General features: G+C 56.0%; 1 protein-coding gene across 12 annotated transcripts in view, besides 8 other annotated features; it reads right to left on the bottom strand.

Annotated features, from left to right (window-relative positions):
* ZMIZ1 (zinc finger MIZ-type containing 1) overlaps positions 1–13,767 on the bottom strand; it is a 247,554-nt gene that overhangs the window by 39,362 nt on the left and 194,425 nt on the right. The window lies entirely within an intron of this gene.
* Positions 1,126–1,996: an enhancer, noted in NCBI's record as "H3K4me1 hESC enhancer chr10:81034919-81035789 (GRCh37/hg19 assembly coordinates)". NCBI's record gives its function as "activates a minimal SCP1, AML or CMV promoter by ChIP-STARR-seq in naive H9 embryonic stem cells {active_cell/tissue: H9 hESC(naive)}" and the evidence as "EXISTENCE:reporter gene assay evidence [ECO:0000049][PMID:30033119]".
* Positions 1,997–2,868: an enhancer, noted in NCBI's record as "H3K4me1 hESC enhancer chr10:81034047-81034918 (GRCh37/hg19 assembly coordinates)". NCBI's record gives its function as "activates a minimal SCP1, AML or CMV promoter by ChIP-STARR-seq in naive and primed H9 embryonic stem cells {active_cell/tissue: H9 hESC(naive and primed)}" and the evidence as "EXISTENCE:reporter gene assay evidence [ECO:0000049][PMID:30033119]".
* Positions 2,869–3,739: an enhancer, noted in NCBI's record as "H3K27ac-H3K4me1 hESC enhancer chr10:81033176-81034046 (GRCh37/hg19 assembly coordinates)". NCBI's record gives its function as "activates a minimal SCP1, AML or CMV promoter by ChIP-STARR-seq in primed H9 embryonic stem cells {active_cell/tissue: H9 hESC(primed)}" and the evidence as "EXISTENCE:reporter gene assay evidence [ECO:0000049][PMID:30033119]".
* Positions 10,212–11,068: a transcriptional cis regulatory region, noted in NCBI's record as "chr10:81025847-81026703 region (GRCh37/hg19 assembly coordinates) targeted for CRISPR interference". NCBI's record gives its function as "positively regulates PPIF gene expression in anti-CD40- and anti-IgM-stimulated BJAB lymphoma cells {active_cell/tissue: BJAB(+anti-IgM and anti-CD40 for 4hr)}" and the evidence as "EXISTENCE:mutant phenotype evidence [ECO:0000015][PMID:33828297]".
* Positions 10,212–11,464: a biological region, named in NCBI's record as "H3K27ac-H3K4me1 hESC enhancer GRCh37_chr10:81025451-81026410". NCBI's record gives its function as "regulatory_interactions: PPIF".
* Positions 10,505–11,464: an enhancer, noted in NCBI's record as "H3K27ac-H3K4me1 hESC enhancer chr10:81025451-81026410 (GRCh37/hg19 assembly coordinates)". NCBI's record gives its function as "activates a minimal SCP1, AML or CMV promoter by ChIP-STARR-seq in naive H9 embryonic stem cells {active_cell/tissue: H9 hESC(naive)}" and the evidence as "EXISTENCE:reporter gene assay evidence [ECO:0000049][PMID:30033119]".
* Positions 11,831–11,880: an enhancer, noted in NCBI's record as "active region_3638". NCBI's record gives its function as "activates an Ori minimal core promoter by ATAC-STARR-seq in GM12878 lymphoblastoid cells {active_cell/tissue: GM12878}" and the evidence as "EXISTENCE:reporter gene assay evidence [ECO:0000049][PMID:35858748]".
* Positions 12,423–13,382: an enhancer, noted in NCBI's record as "H3K4me1 hESC enhancer chr10:81023533-81024492 (GRCh37/hg19 assembly coordinates)". NCBI's record gives its function as "activates a minimal SCP1, AML or CMV promoter by ChIP-STARR-seq in naive H9 embryonic stem cells {active_cell/tissue: H9 hESC(naive)}" and the evidence as "EXISTENCE:reporter gene assay evidence [ECO:0000049][PMID:30033119]".

The raw sequence follows: 13,767 nt of genomic DNA, 5'->3' as shown, positions 1-13,767 counted from the left end.
GTGGGTGCTTGTTCATCATGCTCTGCCACACCAAGACCCCCCCCCAACTCTCCCCAGACTGGGTGCTATCCATGCTGGTTTTGCTCCCAGATTCGTGTGACGCCAGAAGACTTACTCAGCCCTCTTGGGAGGCCTCAGTATTCTCAACTGTAAGATGGGACTGACACCCTTGAAGGAGGATACAAAAGTTTCTGTCATGAAGAGGGGGTCAGAATGGCCCGCGTGCAGGAAGTAGTGGTCCGTGGAGGCAAAGAGGGGGAGAGTCAGGATGATGGGAAGGGTGGCAGAGATGGTGCCAAGTGGAAACTGGAGGAGTGAGGGGGCCTGACACAGACCTTGAGTCAGGGCAAGCTTAGCAGCTGCCCACCACCCCAGATCCCCCTCAGGGAAGCTCACTCCCTCACACTTCGATCAGAGGCAAAGCGTGGCTTCTCCCCATGGGTGGGCTCAAACATCACAAGGTTTGAACAAAATCTTGGAATCTGCTGACAACCTAGGAGTGTCTGCAGGGCTGTCCCTGAAACTCCTGCCCAGAAACTGGCCCCCTAGCACACACCTTCTGGTCACACCCACGGTTGGTCCCTGCTCTGCTGGGCACAAATGCCTAGGAAGACAAAGGATGTCCAGAGCAGAGGGTGGCCAGGGTGGTGGGGGGCCAAGCAGGAGGCAGCCAGGGGTGCCCAAGGCAGGAGCACAGAGCAGCCATCCACATCCGGGATAAGAGAGCCCCACATGAACTGGGGACTGGGGAAAACTTCCATTTTCTTTCACTGTTCACTGTCCCCACGTGGCCACAGGAGCCAAAAGCGCCTCCCAGGCCAGCGTGTCTCAGCCTGGGCTGTCCATCGTGTCTCAGCTGGCCTGTCCTCCTGAAGTACATGAGGACGCTGAGGGCTGGGGAACTGGCTGCGCTCAGTCACCATCTTGCTGTTTGACTTCAGGAGCCCACAGACTCTCTGGGCCTCAGTTTGCTTAGAGGTAAAAAGGAGTAATGCCTCGTGTCCTGCCTTCCTCCCAGGCTGCAGGGAGGGACGGATGGGGGCCTGCTGGGTCTGTGGAATGCTGGACAAAGGGTGGCCACACCTCAGCTGATGTCCTACTCCTGCTGGGAGTGACCTGAGCGTTATGGAAGTAGTCGATGGGCAAGAGTGGCCAGGCATATTTTGAATCATAACTGCTCAGCCACTTGGCTGGGTGCAAAGCCGACTCCACATTTCAAGGGTCTCCCATCTGGATGCTGCACAACGTGCTTCTGCATCCTTTTTTTTTCTTGACCATCTAGGACATCATTAGCTATTATTATCCTCATTCTACAGATGAGTAGACGGGGGCCCAGTCAGGCAAAGCTACTCACAGTAACCACAGCCAGAGTCAGCAGGGACAGAGACAGTGCTCCTGCTCCTGGCCCCATGCCCTGGTGGTAGAGCCTGAGGCTGGACCAGAAGGTGGGGAGGAGGTGAAAGCCTTCAGAAGGCAAAATCCTAGGTGTTCACAGCTCCCCAGCCCCTCTGACTCAATAAGGAACCCCTCAGGCCTCTTGTACGCCACCACGTTTGGCCGGCACTGGTGGAAGACACCCATAGGCACAGTGACCGGGAGTGGCTGGGCAGGCTGCCATCCCAAGCCGCCCAGATCCTGGACGGGGTTCCCGTCAGCCCAAAGCCCCGAGAAGTCGCCAGAGCTGCTTGCTCCATCTGCTCAGCTTGTGTGGTACACAAAGATGCCCAACCAAGAAGGCAAGCAGGGGCTGTGGTCCCCAAGAGGGGCCCTGTTTCTCCCTCCAGGAGGGGGCCTGGTGGATGAGCTAAGTCTTAAAAGATGTGTCCTGCCCCCCTCCGTGGGGTCACCTTGCCACCACCCTCAAAAGGAGGACAGTATGAGAGAAGAGACACTCTCCTCTGTCATGTGTGTCTGCACAGAAACCAACAAACACCCCTATGTGGGTGTCCAGCACACATGTGCTACAGCTGGAAAGGCAGCCTATTCGGGCAGGCCAGGACACACAAAAACGAGCCTCCAGCCCACTCCATCCTTCTCCCAGGCCCCTAGGTACCGCCTCTTGTGCGGGGGCACTGGGCATCTGGAAACTCATTTGCACGCCAAGCACGAGGCCCGCTGGATCGCAGTGACGGAGGGATCACTCCACTGCCAGCACAAAGGACGGCCACAGATGGTGCCGCCTGCTGCCCGCCCCACCCCTCGCAGCCCTCGCTCCTCCTGGGGGCTGGCCTGCCATGCAGGGGGCGGAGGCACCACAGGGGAATCAGGGCTTTCCTCCAATGTCACGGGCCACCCCCTGCTCAGCCAAGGACAGCCCTTGTCCTCCTGCCCCTAGTGGAGTGGTTTCCATAAAGGGAATAAAGGCAGGCTGGCTGCGTGACAGGGCCTTGCTGTACAGTCTGGCATGCCGCAAACAGGCGTGATATGTGGATCAGCCAGCCACAAAGGCCACTTTCTTACAACCAAGAGGTGGTGGGGGGATGGGGAGTCACCACCCCTCACCCCCGAGGCCGGTGAGCACAGAGGCCACGCTGGCAGCCGCATGCGGGGCAGTGGATGTTGTGCGTGTTCTCCTTATGGTGCAAACCAACACAAGTTGTTCTGAGGCAAACGTGGGTTAATGACAACACCCGGGAATTCGCAGCCAAAAAGAGAGTCTGGGCACTGTCGAGAGAACCAGGAGGGCTGACAGGGACAGACAGAGGCAGGCAGGGGATTACGCAAGGACAGACAGAGTGACACCAGCTGGGCGGGTGTCTGGGTGCGCCTGGCCAGTCACTCACACATCTGGACTGGGAAGTCTGTCTGCTCTAATTAGGCGGGGCTGGCCTGCATGCTTCTTTGACCTGCGTGCCTTTGGTCTGTGCACTTGCTAGAATGGCAAAAACAGTCCCAGGGTGAGTGGGAGAGACGGGAGGACCTGGTGTGGTGTGCGCAGAGCATACCAGGCAATGGGAGGGCAGTGTCAGTCCTGACCTGAGCCCCTCTGTGCTGCAGGCAGGGTCAAGAGTGCCTTCTACTGCCTAAGCAACCAACATGGCCAGCCTGTCCCTTGTCCTGTGGGCCCCACTTACCAGTGGTTAAGAGAGCTGGCCCCAAAGGCCCCTTTTTACACAGAGGTCCCCAATTTTCAAATTAAAATGGCAGCTAGGACCCAATGTCCCTTTCCCCCTTCATAAAATGCAGCTCGCTTGGGCCCAGGACAGCCTTGGCCAGTACATGTGACTGCCTCTCTCCCACAGACGGGTGACGATTGGCCTCCTGCCTGGTGCTCCCACGGCGGGAGGCCCACGTACACATCACTTGCACAGCTGTCAATGAATGCCATTAGACCCACGGCCACCCTCCAAGGGGCTAAGCAATTGGCAGTGAGATACTCCAAAGCCTGCCAAGGGGCGTGGAGAGGAATTGTAGCTCCACCCTGCAAACTTTTTGGGCCCCTTCCAATCTGGGGTGTCAACATGGGGAGGCCTTCTGCCTGTCAGAAACCAAGAAGCAGGGGCTGGGCGTGATGGCTCACACCTGTAATCACAGCAGTTTGGGAGGCTGAGGCGGGCAGATCACTTGAGGTCAGGAGTTCGAGACTAACCTTGCCAATATAATGAAATGCTGTCTCTACTAAAAATACAAAAATTAGCCAGGTGTGGTAGCCAGCGCCTCTAATCTCAGCTACTCGGGAGGCTGAGCAGAATTGCTTGACCTCGGGAGGTGGAGGCTGCAGTGATCTGAGATCGCGTCACTGCCCTCCAGCCTGGGCAACACAGCAAGACTCCATTCCCCTCCAAAAAGGAAAGAAAGAAAGAAAGAAAAAAGAAACCAAGAAGCAGGAGGGGCTGTTGGGAGCAGAGGTTCAGCCACAGAAAGGGGGTTAGGGTCAGGAGGGGGCCTGCAGAGCTGGCCACAGAGGCCCATGGGACCACCCCCCGTCAGCCAAGCTGACAGTACAGCTATGGCAGTACCCACTGCCCCCTCTCCTCCAGCAAGATCTCTGATGGGTAACAGCCTTCTTTGGGGGAGGAGAAATAGAGGCACAACCACCTGCAAATGCACTGCTTCTGACCCCTAAACAAATCCCCTCTCCCCCATCACCCAAGGCACCAGGTTCTTATCAAGCAGGTGCTGAGCTGGGTACAGGCACCCCAGAAACTGGGCTCTCAGGCTCCTCACCAAGCCCCATCCCCTGTCATCCTCTCCAGCCTGTCCAGGGGCTGGTGCCGAGGACCTTGGGGCCTTCCAGCTCACCTCATGGTGACCACAGCTGGGGCTGGGACAGCAGCAGGGAATCATCCCAGACTCGAACTGCCAATGCTGAGCCTTAATCCAGACTTCCAAGCACTCCTCAAATGTCTCAGCGTAAAACGTAAAAGCACGCACCACCCAACTCGTCTAAAGTGAACCCACTGAGCTCCCCTCACCTCTCCAAACTGCATCCTTGTGACCAGACTCCCTCACCTCGATCCATTCTAACCTACAGTACCAAGGTGTTCTATCACTCACCCAACGTTCATTCAACAACTGGCTGCTGAGCACCTTGTGTGTTCTGGAGGTACTGCGGTGAAGCAGGCGAGGCTAGCACTCCTGCTGAAACCGCACATGGCCCCCACTGCTGAGTCCAAACCACTTAAGATGACGTGCAAAGCTCCGCAGGCTGGGAGGACGCCTTGGCGCTCATCTCTCCTGACCTCAGCTGGCAGCTACAACCCTGTGGTTCAGGGTAAGGGACTCCGAAAGTCTGGATTCGATTCGAAACCTCATTCCCTTCACACCTACGTGACCTTAGGCAAACAGTACAATCTCTCTGGGCTTCGGTTTATCTGCCAAATGTTAATGCTTACTCTTTAGGGTTATTGTGCTATTTTTTTTCTTTTTTTTTTGAGACAGTCTTGTTCTGTCACCCAGGCTGGAGTGCAGTGGTGCGATCTTGGCTCACTGCAACATCTGCCTCCCGGATTCAAGCGATTCTTGTGCCTCAGCATCCCGAGTAGCTGGGACTACAGTTGTGCACCATCACGCCTGGCTAATTTTGTGTGTGTGTATATATATATATTTTTGGTAGAGATGGAGTTTTGCCATGTTGGCCAGGCTGGTTTCGAACTCCTGGCTTCAAGTGATCCACCCACCTCGGCCTCCCAAAGTACTTGGATTACAGGCATAAGCCACTGAGCCCAGCCTTACTGTGCTATCGAATGACACTAACACCTACAAAGTGTTTAAAAGTGTCTGGCATGTAGTTAGCACGAAGAGCCTCTCAGCGCCGTGTGTGCTCTGCTTGTAGCAGGCAAGAAAGAGCCTTCCAGACAGAAGGTGGTCTCTTATTCGTAAGCCCCCTCTGCCCAGCAGGCTCCAGGCCCACCTCTCTATGCGCCAGCCCCACAAGACACCCTGCAATTTCATGCCTCTTTCCTTATAGAACTTGCACTTCTTTAAGGCTCATCTCTAATGGTGCTTCCTCCAGTTTCCCATCTATAAAATGGGTTTAACAGGAGCTGCCTGCTTCACTGGATATGGGGTGTAAATTAGTGTTGCAAGCCAACCCCTGTGATATCCAAGTAGAAGCCAGCAAGTGTGCAGGGTGGGCGGAGGGCCAAGGACCCTCACCAATCCCTGCAACCCCATATCCAACTCCGCATCCCAGAACACTGTGAAGGCTGCTGAGGCATAGCCTGAAACCAACACCCAAGACCTGATCCCAGTTGTCTGTTACTGTGTGACACCTTGAGCAAGTGACTTAACCTTCCTGCACCCCAGTTTCCTCATCTCCTAGGGTAGCCATATGGATGGGACCGCGTTACCTCCATGAAGCCCAGGGGAGCCAGGCACACAAATCCCTGCATATGCTCATTACACCACGATTGGTGTTTCTGCCTCGCTCAGTAGAGAAGAGAACAACAGGATGGTCCTGGGACTTTGCATCTCTGCTTCTGATCACATAGCAGAGGGTGAGACAAAGGGCCTGGGCAGGCACGAAGCTCCAGAAGTTCATGGAGATGGTGGGGGCCCTGAGTAGATGAGCAGGCCTGTGTGCTCATCTGGCACACATGTTGCACAGGGCCCCTTCCCCCTGCCTCCTTCTGAGCCGCCTAGGGGTAGAATGAGGACATCGAGTGTCCTGCTCTGAGATGCAGGAAGCAAAAATCAATTCCCCATTTGGAGGCAGCTGTGCCTCTGCTTCAGCTGGTGGCAAGGCGCCGGTGGCCCTGGAGGGAAGGCATTACTTCTTCTTTCCCTAGGACACCCCATGGGACTCCCACAGCAACCCCTCAATAGTGGCCATCTTTTGTGGGGGTAGTGGGGACAGTTCCCCAGGATCCAGAACAGCCCAAGACCCAGACCCAGCCTCTCCCATGACCCCCTCTAGGGCCCTGGCTTTTAGTAGATAAGATCCAGATAGTCACTGCCACATCCGCAGGGAAGCAGCAGCCCTGAGGGGCCAGCAGAAGGGAGAGTTGACCTCAGCAGAAGCGACAGTTGACCTCATGCTCCTGTTGCCTATGCTAGTCTTTGTAGCGTCTCCAGGAAGCCACGGGGACACCAGGGTTCCCACTCCACACCAGCCGTGACTTAACCAAGATCACTGACAAGCAACACGTGTCCTCCAGTGGCGCTGTGCCATAGTATGATCGGCGGCGCATTCTTCCTTCTTAGTGGCATGTGAAATAGTGGTGTGTGCGACCAGGGCTGGTATCTTCTATAAATGGGACCCAGTGGATATGTCTAAGGGCCCTGCACCAGCTGCACCCAAGGATGCTATGGCGAAGGCAGCACCAACACTAGCCAGTGACCCTGTGGTCACTCATCTAAAACAGAAAAGGGAGTGAACAAGCACTGGCTCTGAGGATCAGAAGGGGACCAGGCAGGAAGGCACCGAGGAAGAGCCAGCTTCCCAACATCTGCTTCCCCAAGACCTTTCCAGCAACTCCCCTGTAGCCAGCAGCCCCCATACTGTCTGTCCGTTAGGGGGAAAAAATGAAACCAGATGTCGGGTGAGGCAGGCCTGAGTGAGGATGCCGGGGCAGCTGGTCCTGGCTTGCTCAGGCGTGCCCTCCCCAGGGGCAGTGACAGGCCCTGTATTTGCCCCTGTACCTGTAGCTCCTAGCAGCACAGACGCCCAGGACTGGCTGACCAAATGAGGAGGTGAGAGGCAGAGGAGTGCAGCCCTAGTTCAGGAATCGCCTGAGTGCCAGGTGAGGAGGGTGGATCTACATGTACTGTTCAGACAGGCCGAGTGACCAGCCTTTGTTAGCATCGATCGGGTCGGGTGTCACGGGGAGCAGGTACGCTCACCTGGGCACCTGGGAAAGGCTTCCTCGCCAGGCTGCACTTGGCTTGAAAAGGAGCAAGAAAGCAGAGGCAGCCACAGCAGCCATAGGGAAAGAGGCGCTCCTGATGGAGCCAGGCAAGGGGAGGTGCGGACAGTGAGAAGCCTGGGATGCTTGCTCCTGGTAAGATCTGGCGGTCAGGAATGGATGACAGCAGCAGTGGGGTGCAGGGGGAGGCTGGGAGGGATGAAAGGCCATCTGGAGAAGGGAACAGAAGCCTGGATGTATGGCTGGGCGGGAGAGTCATCGAACACACTGCAGCCTGGGGAAGCCACACGCAAAATGAAACAAAGGCCTAAGTATCAAAGAGCATCTTAGCAGCTAAAAGGCTGCTGGAGAACAGAGAAAGTGTGTGTGTGTGTGTGTGTGTGTGTGTGTGTGTTGGGGGGAGGTGTTGGGAGGGGTGCTTCTGAGACCCAGGAGACCCCCAGGGATGGGGCAGCACTCAGAGGGGCCCAGGAAGAGGCCTGCGAAGCAATGGCAGCAGCATCTTGAAGCAGGGCCCTCTCATCCTCAAACCATGCCCTGGCAGGTGGCAAGTGGGATTCATGATTCCAATAAAAATATGAATGATACATTTTCAGATGCTTCCATCCCATGAGCTTACAAAAGGCCACACAAGACCCTCTGAAGTAGCAGCAGCAGTGAGAGTGGCGCCACTCCGCAGCGGGGGAGACTGGGCATGGGAGCTGCAGGGGCTTGCCTGTTGAGTCAGGGGCAGGAGAGCCAGGCCCCCACACTGGTCCTCACACTCTCCCCTCTGACATGTCGCAAGTTCCTGCTCCCACATCCACTAGAATCCCAGGGAGCACCTCGAGCTGCCTCAGGAAGACGGGCCCCTCCCTGTCCCACCCGCTGGTCACCACATCCTGATGATCTTTGCAGTCTGTTCCCTTTGCTCCTTGCCTGCTCCAATCCAATCACCTTCTGCAGCCCTGCCGGTTCTCCTCTGAATTATGACAACAGCATCCTGTCATTCCTCTCCATCTCCAAACCTGCCTCCTGCCAACCTGCCCTCTGCAACGCGGTCAGAGGACTTCTTCCACCCATGCATTCTGATTACCTCTTTCCAATCTGTATCCCCAGAGGCTGCACAGGGCCTGGTAGATGGCAGTTGCTTGATGGATGCAGACACGAATCTTGGGCCACACTACCCAGGGGAATGCCATGGTGCTCCGTAGCGACAGCATGAGCCCCTGGGGCCACGATCGGATTTGGGGGCTTCACTTCTACAACCCTGGCACCCAGCACGGCGTTTAGCACATGCTATGCAGCCAACAGATGACTAACACACTGACATGAATCACAGCTAGAAATAACCCAATATGCTGAGACGACTGGGAAGGAAGGACAGACACTGAGACCCGGACAACTGGAGCAGCATCTGTGACCAGGCGCTCAGCGGCCTTTAAACCTACCAGCAGCTCCCCATTCCTGGGGGCAGGAAACCAGCTTCAGAAACAGGGTTCTGAAAGGAATCTCATCACGAATGTGTCCAGAGACTGGTGCTGTCCTCAAATAAAACCTACAACTGAGTCACATGACACATGTTTCATGACATGCACAGCCACCCCAGTCACGGGGAACAGGAGGCAAGCAGTTCACAGCAGCAACAGTTCATACAGCGTGGGGGCCAGCCACAGCCCTGGTCGTCCTCTGCTCAGGGGCCGGCGCTGCTGTTCATGTTAGTGAGATGTTCCCAGCATCTCACCCAGGGCTCCCTGGAGATAGTGCTGCTCCTTCTGCTCCTGGGCCCAGGCCGTGCTCCCCTACCCTCTGATCCTCCTCTTTCAGCTCCCAAACACAGGGTCCTGGGACCGGGGAAGCCTGGGAGTTCAAGGCAATGGGGTCTCCTGAATATCCCTGGGACCCCAAGTTCTATAGCCATGCACAGAAAAGAAGTGGTGGTGAGGGCTTGGGAGGGGCGGGAGAGTGCAGCAGACACAGGGGTTTGAGTCAACACGGGCCTGGACTCCTCATCAAATCTCTAAAATGGACAGACACTAAGAGGAACCTCTCCTGCTCACTGGCCTGGTGTGAGGAACCATGAGGTGAAGGAAGGGCCCCTTTGTCAACACAAGTGAGAGACGGCCCATCTCACACCAGAGTCCCACCTGGAAACCAAAAGCAGTAATATGCTGTCTCCTGCCTCCAGGAGGCAGAGTGACCAAGAACACAAGCTCTGGAGCCAGGCTGCCTGGGTTCAAATCCCAGCTCAGCCACGTAGCAGCTGTGTGATCTTGGGTAAGTTACTTTAGCTCTCTGTGCTTTGGTTTTCCCTTCTGCAAAATGGGGATAATAAGTAGCACCTACCACCTAAATTACCATGAGGATTAAGTAAGTTACTATACATAGAATGTTGGTACAATACCAGGCATGTAGAAAGCATTACATGGGAATAAACTGTTAGCAGTGTTGCTGTAGTATACATGTTCCCTTGGGATGCAGAGGGTGCTCCATTTCTCCACCTAAGTACTGTAGAAAATTGCTCAAATAAAATACAATTTCTTTCACCCATCTCCAAGAAAATCATGCAGATGCTCAGGAGTGCCCAGCCTCACACCACCCCTTCACACTGGGTGCTCCCTGGGGCAGACAGTGCCCCCTTCCCTACTGGACTGGGTGCTCCCCTAGCACCCAACTGTGCCCACATCCAGACACCCCAGGCCCTCACAGGGCCACCCCGACAGGCACTCATTTCTGACTCTGCTCTCAGGCCAAGCAGTGCCAGGAGGCTGGTCTAGGCAGACCCCTTCCTCCTCTGGAGTGTGTGGGTACAGGGGCTGGGGGGACTTTGCAGCTGTCCTCTCCACAATAGGAGGCCTGGGCGGTGGGCAGAGCCCAAGCCCCTCCTCAGCCCCATTCCACTGTGTCCAGAAGGAGGTGGGAGACGGGCAGGAACTAGGATTCCTACTCTGGCTGATTTACTCAAAGCAGGAATGAGTGGTCTGACTCATGAGCCCTGAGAACAGAACTAGCCGCAGAATTGTTACTCTGCCCGGCTGGAGGCTGGGGCTCTGGGGCTGGACTTCCTGCCTGTAGACCCGTCACTGCTGGGTGCCCCAGAAATAGGAAAAGGGGCCTCCTCCCTGCCAGCTCTCTTGGGTCATCTCCCAGGAGGAAATAGCACAGGAAGCACATGACCACAGAGACTCACAGTCCTCGGACCGGGGGCAGTGACTACTGGGCCCCAGGAGACCAGGGTTGGCTCTAGCGAGACCACCGCACCATCAGTGCAGCCTCAGGGCCATGTGTGTGCTTCTGTAAGATGGGGCACCCCTTCTGGCCCGACTCACCCTGCTGTGGATGAGGATCTAACCGGGCCGTGGGAGCACACAACCTTTTGGTTCTCCCAGCCGTGTGGTTCTTCCTACTTCATTCAAACCTCCCAAGACCCAATTAGGACCCTGCCAAGGATTACACTACCTGTATTTTACAAAAGGGAAATCCAGGCCCAAGAAGGGGTGATTCAAACAGTCACTCCACAGGACAACGGCCCCGCCCACTGCTGGTACGCGAAGGCCCCACTTTCATGCCCATAATTCTGTGACATCATGTCTGAGAGCAGGCATATCCCCAGGAGACAGCTCTGTGCCTCCTGCCTGCCTCCCACTCCTAAGACTTGGTGCCAACCCCAGCTTCTTGAACCTCCTGTGTGACTGTGGGCAACTTCCTCCCGTCTCTGGCCACATGTAAAAGACAGGGGGTGGGCACTGCTCTCTGAAGTCTGTGGCCCCCTGAATCAGCCCTGGCCTCCAAGTGGGGTCACGTTTCTCAGGGCGCAGGCCAGTCTTGACCTTGCATGACTTCTTCTCAATCTTGCAGGTGATATGGGGTGAGCTGTCTGTCTGCACACTTGGGGTGGACTGCCTCTCCACACCGCTAGCAGGGATTACAGATGGAAGGGGCTCCAGAGAGCTCACCCTGTTGGGCTGCTCCGTTGATCAAGGCCAAAGCCCAGAGAGTAGAGTGGATTCGCTGAGGTCAAACAGCCGATGCTTGCAGGACTCTGAGGGTGACAGGGTCCTAGGAGAGTGGATGGGTGGGGAGCACCCTGTGGTCTCAGCTGCTGGGGCTGCTGAGGGGCTAGGCCTTCTCCTTGGTTATAGAAAACATCACTTCTGGGGCATTGTGAGTTGGACTCTGGTGACCCTGACAGCTGACCCCTGGAACCTACATCAGAGAGGTTTTCCTTGGGGGAAAATCTCAGTCTCCGGCAGACTGATGGTATTGCTGCCTCAGCACCATCAGTAGCAAGCTGAACTGAGTTTCAGCTCCTCCTGAGTTTTCTAGATCATTCCCATGTTCTGCTCCCTGTACCTCTATCACCATCACTTGTGGGTAAGAAAGGCCAAAAAAAAAAAAAAAAAGAAAAGAAAAAAAAGGAGTTGTCTGCTGGCGCTTGGGCTGCGAGTGACCCTGTCCGTCTCTGCTGCCCCCACCCCCGGTCCCCACACAAGCTGAAGCCCTGTGCATAGGGAGGACTGGCTAGTTGGGTGGTGCAGGTGGCCTGGGATCTGCAAGCAGGCTCCCGGCCCAGCTCACCCTGCCCTACCTGCTTCCCTGTGCTGGGCAGGTCCTGCCTTCTCAGGTCCTGTGGTCCAGTCTGGCCTGAGAGAGGGCCTACAGCCTGTCCCTCCCTCTAGGAACACTCCTCGCACGCCCGCCCCCTCTCCCCAAGGGCTGCCCGGGTTGTCAGGAGCTGGGAACTGGGAGCCTCGAGGCGTGTGAACTCACCCTGGGAACTGAACTCCAGGGAACCTCAGAGCCGTCAGGGCTAGTTTTGTCAGTGCTGTTTCCCAAACCGGTTTGGCCATGCCTCACCCAGTGGAGGCTGGGCAGGATGCATGGACCCAGGATAAGACGCCAGACTAAAACCCCAGCCCAGAAAATTCCCTGCCACCTCACACTATCATCTCTAACTCAGGGGCCATCAAAGACATCCCAAAACAAGCTCAAGAGGGTGTTGTCCACAGAAAGGGAATGCCCCCCTTTCTTTTTGGGGGTACCCCAATAAATGCTTCTGCAAAGTGCCCCCTTAGTCCTACCATGCACTTTTAGCTGAGAACAGCTCACAGGAGCTGTCACCATGTACTGTGCCCTTGTGAGGGGCTGGCTCACATTTCCTCGTTCCTCAGACCCTCACAAGCCCCTCCGGAGGTGGGGTAGTCACAGGTCACAGCCCCTATCTTGGAGAAACTAGATACTGTGCCTCAGTGCACACCTGAGTATGTGGCAGGCCAGGGCCAAGGCTGGCCTCTGTCATCTTACCCTAGGGATAAAAATTTGCTGGCGGCAGGGCAATGGCGGAGGAGCTCTAGACCACCTCAGTAGGAAATTAGGTAGCACTAATAGCAAAGCAAGCGTGCTGGAGAGGGGAGAGGTGCCCTGAGAAGGGGATGGGTGGTTACAGTCCCTGCATTCAGGGCCCCAGCAATGGGCCTCAGTCCTCCCTCCCCCAGCAATAGATTGAGGCCAAGAGGTACCCAAGAATGCACCAGTGTCCGTGGTGAGGCGTGAGTGCCAAATGCCTCTCGACCTCCATTTTGCTCCAAGGACCTCTGGGCAGGAGAGAGGCAAGCTCAAGAGGCAAGGTGACAAGGTCAGCCTGCGCAGGGAGGTGAGGAGGCAGTCCCCAGGCTGGCCTGGGTCAACAGTCCCACTCCATCTGCAAGGTGAGAACTGAGCCACACCCGCATGCCCAGGAACCACGGAGCCTGCACTCCAGCTCTCATTCCAGCAGGAGCCACCCTGAGCGCCTGCTTTCCATTCCGCATGTAATTTTTCCTCGGGGCTAAACATCACTGCCCGTTGCTGGCTCTCAGGGAGATGGAAGGGTAAGGAGGGGTTATGTGAATCAATTTCTTCCCTGCATAATTTACTTTTCTGAGGAGGTCCCCTCCTTACCCTTCCCAGGTGGGTGTAGGCAGTTTAGCTGTGTCCTCTCCCACCCAGCATAAGAAGAAGTGGTTGGAGTGAGGCTGGGCCTTCCCTAGGGTCAAAAAGACCCTGGGGTCTACACATCATGGCTGTCCGGACTTCACAGACGGCAAGAGACCATGTGTTTGAGCACCGAGAGACCTTGTCATGTACTCCCTTGATTTGATTTGACCTCAACCCTTAGTGTCCAATTCCAAGCCCTTGGTTTTTCCTGCCAGTGACAACCCCCAGGACCTCTCAAGTGGCTTCATTCCACCCAGCCTGGGCTCATGAATCCAGAGTATGGGCTCTGTCCTGGGGGCCCGGTGCTGACACTAAGCCTTGGGGAGGTGGTGAGCCTAGGGCATCACTGTTTATTACAAAGAAAACACCCACAAATCTTCCCAAACCTGAAGAGTGACTCAGGAGACCTGTGCCGTGGTAACAAGGGGCAGGAGAGGAACTGAGATGGGCTGCGCTTTGCTGGGTGACTCTGCTGACCAGACTCTACCATCTCACCTCCAACCAT

This window comes from Homo sapiens, chromosome 10, assembly GCF_000001405.40.
Source record: "Homo sapiens chromosome 10, GRCh38.p14 Primary Assembly".
NCBI classification, from domain to species: Eukaryota; Metazoa; Chordata; class Mammalia; order Primates; family Hominidae; genus Homo; species Homo sapiens.
This window is presented reverse-complemented; position numbering and strand designations above follow the sequence as displayed.